This window comes from Homo sapiens, chromosome 10 (genome assembly GCF_000001405.40).
Source record: "Homo sapiens chromosome 10, GRCh38.p14 Primary Assembly".
Lineage (NCBI taxonomy): Eukaryota > Metazoa > Chordata > Mammalia > Primates > Hominidae > Homo > Homo sapiens.
This window is the reverse complement of record NC_000010.11, coordinates 101844114-101851945: the sequence shown is the minus strand read 5'-3', so window position 1 is coordinate 101851945 and position 7832 is coordinate 101844114. Positions and strand designations below refer to the sequence as shown.

The 7832-nt window shown below is 51.3% G+C and overlaps 1 protein-coding gene across 12 annotated transcripts in view; it reads left to right on the top strand.

The window, feature by feature from the left end:
• Positions 1-6347, top strand: part of ARMH3 (armadillo like helical domain containing 3) — a 210575-nt gene extending 204228 nt beyond the window's left edge. For all 12 annotated transcript variants that reach the window (XM_047425735.1, XM_011540157.3, XM_011540154.3 and 9 more), the window contains 2 exons: positions 2054-2170; positions 4326-6347. In XM_047425735.1, the coding sequence (XP_047281691.1) occupies positions 2054-2170; positions 4326-4418 (210 nt within the window). In that variant the 3' untranslated portion in view covers positions 4419-6347. The remainder of the gene's footprint in view (positions 1-2053; positions 2171-4325) is intronic.

Here is a 7832-nt window from a genome sequence, read left to right as displayed (position 1 = left end):
TGCATGAGAGGACCAGATTACTTTGTGGGTGACTGCTGTTGCTGGGTACCAGTCCTCCTGCCTACAGAACTGACAAGTGGAATGAGAAGCAGAGGAACCAGCCTATACTACAGTCTGTGGGACACACCAGGCAAAATGATCTTGTAGAGCTGGGTGTCTGAAGGGGAGAAAGCTGGGCCAGCCCTTTGCCCTAGCTGTTCCTTCCCTCCCAAACCGAACTCGGTAACTCTCCCATTGGGACACAAGCCTTCCCTGTGCCCTCTAGCCCTTCTCTCTCCTCAGGAATTTTTGGCAGCCAGAGTGTTTGCTACCAAGTGAAGTCTGCCTGGCACAAATTTGGACTGGTGCAGGGAACAGTGCAGAGGCACCTTTGGGCCCCTCAAGAGCCTGTCCTCCATCCTGACTCTGGCTTATTTCCTCTTCCCAACCCCCAACCCCCTTCTGTCAGAGCTGTGTGTTCCTTGTCACTCACTAATTCCTCCAAGCTCCCTACTGAGCAGGGAGCTCTCCATGATGCCATAGGCTTTCCTCCAGGTCAGATCAACTTCACTCCGATGATCAGAGTGAATGATCATCCCCTTTCTTGGTCTCCCCTTTCTTCCTAGCTCACTTCTGATTTGATGTGTAGTGCCTCTCCCCTGATTGTCCTTGCCTTTGATTCATGATCTTACAAGCTGAAGTCACATCTGGCCTGGCTATGAACAGTCCCTTCTTTCTGTAACCACAGATAGTCAAGTTTCCTGGAGTCAGTGGAAGTCTGAATCCTCCCCGCATAGAAAATCAGAGAGATGTTGTGGGAGAAAAACCCCACAGAATAAAGGCTCTAGCTTAGTCTTGAAAGCGTACCCTATACCCAAAGGCTGGGATGCCCTAAAGTTCAATCCAGGCACTGGATAAGAAGACTGAGTTGGCACTGAGCAATGAAAACAAGTAGCAGATGGTGCTGAGGAACATCCCAAGACTGAAGAAATGTGGTTCCCAGAACGGGAGAAGGAAGGAGACATTGGCAAAGTCTTACTCAGCAACTGTGACAGCCTGGCCAGGGAAAGCTTCAGGATAAGGCTGAGAGCACATTTGTGGTGTCAGGGATATTGGTGAGCTGAGATGCTCACTGTTCTGTAACCTCTTCTCATGCTCTTTTGCCGTACTCAGAGTAAACAGACTTGGTGGCCAGGCTGGGCTGGTCAGGAAAGGCAGGGAATAGAAGAGATGAGAAAGTCGCGGTGGGTGCAGTGGCTCACGCCTGTAATCCCAGCACTTTTGGAGGTCAAGTCTGGTGGATCAACTGAGTTCAGGAGTTAGAGACCAGCTTGGCCAACATGGAGAAATCACATCTCTACTAAAAATACAAAAATTAGCCGGGCATGATGGCACACACCTGTAATCCCAGCTACTCAGGAGGTTGAGGCATGAGAATTGCTTGAACCCAGGAGGCAGAGGTTGCAGTGAGCTGAGATTGCACCACTGCACTCCAGCCTGGGCGACAGAGTGAGACTCTGTCTCAAAAAGGAAAAAAAAAAAAAGAGAGAGAGAGAGATTAGAAAGTTGGCCAGGCTCAATGGCTCACACCCGTACTCCCAGCACTTTGGGAGGCCAAGGCAGGTGGATCACCTGAGGTCAGGAGTTCGAGACCAGCCTGGCCAACATGGCGAAACACCATCTCTACTAAAACATATAAAAAACAGCCAGGTGTGGTGATGTGCCCCTGTCGTCCCAGCTACTCGGGAGGCTGAGGCAGGAGAATCGCTTGAACCTGGGAGGCAGAGGTTGCAGTGAACTGAGATCACGTCACTGTACTCCAGCCTGAGCGACAGAGCAAGACTCAGTCTCAAAAAAAAAAAAAAAAAAAAAAAAAGAGAGAGAGAGAAAGTGGTCCCAGAAACCTGAGGCATCGCTCCCTGTAGCCAGGCTGTTTTCTGGAAGATAAGTAATAAGCAAGGTTTCTTGGGGGTGTTGTCACAGACCAAACCCAACCCAGTAGATCAGCAGAATGGGGCTCAGGGTTGTGGGATTTGCATGGCCTAAGCCCTGCCTGGCCCTTGATGTCCTCCAGGTGCTGGAGGTGGTGAGAGCCAACTATGACACGCTCACGCTGAAGCTGCAGGATGGCCTGGACCAGTATGAGCGCTACTCAGAGCAGCACAAGGAAGCTGCCTTCTTCAAAGAGCTGGTGAGTGCCCCACCGCCTCTGCCTGTGTCTTAGGGGCCCGCCCCCAGCCACTGGGTTCTGCAGTTTATCTGCAGTTTATCTGCAGATAAAACAAGACTTGAGGGGTCTGCTGGGATGGGGTATGCAACTTCTCTCCCCCATTGTACCAGGCAGTAAGAGAAGATGCTATTCGAGGTAGTATTGCCTACTTCTCCTTTGCAGCCATGGAGACAGCCCTTGCACAGCTCCAGCTGGGCCTGGGGTTTGACGTGTGTTCCCAGCAGCAGATCTGGCTCATTATTCCTTAACCTGTCCTCAGGGCAACTAATAAAAGTAATTAATTCTTCCCCTTCTTATGGAATCACGTCTTCCTAAACTCCTAACTGGCCGCTGGTCTGAGTCCCCTCCCAATCTAGTTCTCCAGTCTCCATTCCCTGCTTTCCAATCACTTAGCTTCCTGCAGCCCCCACCCTTGGGCACTTGGAGCCATGAGCATTTGCTCTGCCTCCTACTTAAGTTCCCAGTCAGTGTCTCCACAGAGCTAGCCCTATTGATGGTCCCTTTCCTGCCCTGTACTCTGAGCTGTTCTCAAGAAAAGCTCAGCCCCCCTGCAGTCCTGTAACCCTACCAGCTTGGTTTACACAAACATCCTGGCTGGGGACTGAGACCAGGACCTGCAGGCCTCTGTACCCACTTCCCCTGTCCTTAGACCTCCCTCTGCTGGGGCTGAACTTGCGTCAGCTCAGCTTTTACTTACCCCATGCCAATTGTGGTGAAGGCACTGCGTATTAGATCGTTTGTCTTGTGCTAAACACAGCCCAACTCTGATCCTGACATGACATTCCTCAGGATTTTGGACTTCCACAGGGTCAGGAAGACATGCTCTGGGGTGAGTTAGTTTGGAACACAGAAACCATTAGTGTAAAGTGATAGCAGAGTGGAACATTTTTATGGGATGGTTGGCAAGTCTTTAAGTTGATGTGGAGGAAGTTCTGGGAGCAAATGGTTAACAGAGAGCAATCTGTGAGGAGCTGGAGAGGGTTACGGGAGCGGTGTCTCGAGGCTCTGAGACACTCACCACGGCCTTACTCAGTTCTGCTCATATTTGTTCCCCTGGCACAGGGGAGCAAAGAGGGTCTGGTCCAGTTTGGAGCTAATGAGCTCAAGTTTCCTGCTGTTTGCCATGCTGCCCTTTCCTCTGCTTCCTTCCTGATGACTTCATTAAGTTTCCTATAGCATAGCAGAAATTGAAGGAAAGCTCCTGAGACTTTGGGGCCCAGGGCAGACACACTCTCCTCCTCCTTCCCCTTTTTGTTTCTCAGGCAATCTACACAGCTATTTCCTGTGGGGAAATCTCCTTGAAGAGTCTGCCAGATTCCTCTTGGAACCCTCTCAGAGTAGGGACTTGGGCCCTCTGACCCTTTCTCTACAGGCTTTTACCCTGCTGACCCAGGCAACACTGGGTTAGGGTTCTGTGGGTAGAGAGTATGTGAGGTGAGCAGTGGGCACACAGCAAGGATACGCCCCAGACTTTCCTCTCGAGTGGGCAGGCATCTTTAGAAGGAGTGCTAGACTAGGAGTTAAGAACCCTCGGCCCTGCTCCCAAGCTGGGACTCACTAGCAATGTCACCTGGCCCTGGCCATTGAAATTGGCCTCCTTGGATCCTACTCTTGCCATCTGTGCCAGAAAAGGACTGCATCTCTAAATGCTCCTTCTAACCCCAAAATGTAAATAAATCCAAAGGGAGAGTGAAGAGACTAGAAACACATCTAAAGAGAGGTGGTGCTAGAGCATGAGTCTTCTGGCCTCAGTTTCTCCTCCTCCATCAGATCACTGAGCAGCCCAGTCCCCCTTCTGCATAGCCAAAGCAGAGACAGATGTCAGCCTCAGCCCTCCTTTCTTGTCTGTGCCTGCTTCTACCTCCCCAGGAGCCCAGATGCTCTTCTTACATCCTCCAGAGTTTGTTCCTGTCCACCCCTCTTCTCTCCTTCCCTGCTGTCAAGGAACTGTTTGCTCATTTGCCTGCAGGGATAATAGCTGTTAAGGGTTCATTTCCTAAGAGAGAGACTTCTAGTGCCCCGTGTAGCAGGCACTGTCCTCTGCCGTTTAGAACTGACTCTCTCCTGTTTTCTCTCTGGCTGCGCCCTCCCACCTTCCCCAACTACCCTTTCCCAGGTTCGATCCATTAGCACCAACGTCCGGAGAAACCTGGCCTTCCACACACTCAGCCAAGAAGTCCTGCTCAAGGAGTTCTCCACTATCTCCTGAGGCCACGCCTACCTGAGCAGCCTCTGACTGCCCTTACCCATGAGGATCATGGGCTGGAGGGGGAGCGAGGGGAGAGGGGGCTGCCCCCGAGGTTGGAGAGAAACACAGATACCAAGTTCTCTTGGTGAAGACCGCACTTCAATGGAGCTTGGGCAGCAGGGGCAGGAGGGTCAAGCCAGGGATAATCTTATTTGGGGAGGAATGGGTGGGCACAGTGGGGAGAGGCCTCCAGGAATGTGGGGACTTCCAGAGTGGGCTCCCTAAACAGCCCCTCACATTTCCAATCTTGAGGTTACAAGCTGTAGCTACTGACTAATTTTCGGGAGCTGGTGAGGCAAGCCTCAGGGTAATGCCAGCACCCTGAAAGTCAGTGGCTCTGCTCGGCTTCTGAAAACAGATCAACTCTCAGATATAGCTGGAGCTACATCCTGCTTCCTTTGGGCCTGGGGCTGTGCTTGGCTTGAAATCTGTGTCCCCTGCCTGCACTGGCACTTTGTCCAGTCATCGGGACCTTTGGCTCAGATTTAGGGTAAGATAGGAATAGGGTACCTTTTTCCTTTTTTTTCTGAGACGGAGTCTCACTCTGTCGCCCAGGCTGGAATGCAGTGGCGTGATCTCGGCTTTACTGCAGCCTCCGCTTCCTGGGTTCAAGCGATTCTCCTGCCTCAGCCTCCCGAGTAGCTGGGACTACAGGAGCGTGTGCCACGCCCGGCTAATTTTTTGTATTTTTAGTAGAGATGGGGTTTCACCATGTTACCCAGGATGGTCTCAATATCCTGAGTTCATGATCCACCCACCTTGGCCTCCCAAAGTGCTGGGATTACAGGCGTGAGCCACCACACCCAGCCAGTTTTCCTATTTTCTGAATTCAGAATTGACTTCTCTGGGAAAACTGGAGATGAGAATCTGCCCAGTGCTCTGCTGTCCAGTCACCGCCTTTTGAATTTTAGTTTTGGCACCAGGAGTACCGTTAGCTTTCCCCTTCTTCTGGCCCATTTGACTCATCAGCACAATAGGGTCACCACCTTAACTTTTAATTTCTAATCTGCTTTACTGTCTTTAGGGTGTGTATGAAATAAACATTGACAGGCTTTCTGGAGCCCTCAAGGTGCCTACTTTGCTGGTTCCCTTTCCAGCAGCTCCCCCACCTCCCTTAGCCCCCCCTCCTCTGGCAGCCTCTCCTGCCTCTGCTGAGCTCCCCTCCACGTGTTCCACCCCCTTACCCTGCTGTTGTTTACATCCAACCTGCCTGAGAATTTCCTCTGGGGAGGAATCTATTCCTGTCATGGTCTAGTGCCTGGGAGGGAGAGAACTTTCTGGGGGTAGGGTGCCCTCCATCTGAAACAGGCCAGGTGAGCATCATGCATAAGGCCTCCATTCTGTCCGCTCAGATTCTGGGTGGGGCCACAGGCAAATCTCCTGACTTATGGGGAGTTGGCTTGTGGTTCCTCCCTTGGATAGCCTCCATGGAACCACTATAGGCTTTCCCAACAGCTGCCTCTGAAATAGCTGCTGCTTCGAGATCCTCCCTTTTTAAAGCACTTTCTAAAGCCCTCAGGATGGCGGGAGCAAACAGCACTGGTATATTCTAGGAGTAAGTGCAGGAATTCAGCAGTGAGAGCATGTCTGGGACCACCTGGACTGCCATCCATTTAACCTCAAATCTCTTTGGGATACTCGCCCTCCCTGGGAACCAGAGTTCTGGCTCTAACATTGAGCAGCTATGCACTAGTTCCAGAGAAGCCACTAACAGGCTGCCATGTGTAGATGTAGGTTCTTAAGAGATCACAGGCTGGGTCATCTGATCACTGGATGGATAGCTCAGCCTGGGGCATTTAGTGTTTTCCCTGGTGATAAATCCCCAAGGCAGCTGGATTTGGAGCTGGTGGCAAGTTGAAATTATTAAAAATTGATTTGTGTGGGACTGTCTTTAGTGTTGCTTTTTTTTTCCTTAATCTCTGTTGCCCAGACTCATTCCTCAAAGATAGAGGTAAGGTAATCTCCTAGGTGCTGCTGCCATCTGGCTAGGGGACCCCTACCTGCCCTTGTGAACTCTCCTCCTTCCTCTGAGTCTCCTGGCCCTAGTAGAGGTCAGTTGGGTTCGGAGAGCTGTAACCTCTCTTGTCCTCTGGGTAGAAGGAGGGAGAAGAGAGTTAGTTCCCTTATCTCCAAACTTAGTGGTATTGAGGAGGCAAGCCAACCCATTTGGCCACTTACGGATTCCTGCCAGCCTTTCCTCCAAGTGAATGAGGACAGGTCTAGGGCATGGGGCACTAAGCAGAGGGCTCCTTGCCCTCCATTGTAAAGGCCCTTCTCTTGACCAGTTTATTCACATATACCTATCCCAGAACTCCAAACGAGAGTGCCCATTCTCTCCTGGAAATCAACCTTAACAGGAGCTGCCCAAGCACTTTCTATGCCCAGCCTCTATACCAGGTCTGTGGAGCCTCCTCCAGAGCCAAGGGAGATCCAAGCGCAGGGCATTGCTCCTAAAGACAATCTTACCCTCAGCCACTTGTCCCCCTCTTAGGCCTGAACTCCCGCCACAATTCCTGCTGGGTTGATTAAATCAAGTGGTTGGAAATTAAAGCCAATTGAAGAGATTAAGTGTGCTTGAGTCACTTTAAAGTTTTTGGTCTTAACAGGTCACTCCTTTGGACCCACCAGACAAGGTCCCCTCATCCTCATAGCAACGGGTTGGGGGGCTTTTGGGTGTGGAGCCCAGGAAGCATCCTGAGGAAGGTCAGACCTGTGACGCTCAAAACACTCAGGATCCATTCCTGGGAGATGAGGCAGCCCAGCTTCCGTGCTAGCCCTGCCTTTGGAAAGGAGCTAATCTTAAGGAAGGGGTTTCATAACAAGGGCATTTCTTTCCTACTCTGTATCCTGACTTGGATCCCCAAACCTGTCAGTTGCTCCCCATATCTGCTGGAAAACAAGGAATCTAGGACAGGACAGGTGACAAAAGAGAAGGGCAGAAAAGTTGCTGCAGGGGAGGAACAAAAGAGCAAGGATGTCTTGAGAAACTGACCTGGTTCACTAGTTTTTTTATCTTCCTAGTCGGCCTATGGGGTTCATTAGATCAGTGAAGGAGGCACCCTGAGAGTGAATAGGTTCCAGAGACGGGGTCCTGGAGTGGGTGAGAGTTGGGGTCCTTCTGGAACTTGAGAGAAGATGAAACAGTAGTCCATTGGCCCACGATGAGCCTGCTAATATTAGAGGCTGGGTTGACTCTTCCTTTGCATCCCTAACCTGCTTTAAGCACGGTGGGGACTGTCTGGGACCACGAGAGACGCATACACGGGAGGAGGAACAACAGAGAAAATACAGGCTGACATGGAGACAAACGGAGCGGGGACTCAGATATGATACCCCAGGCTCTGCCTCAGCCAGAACTGTGTTGACGAAGGGGGA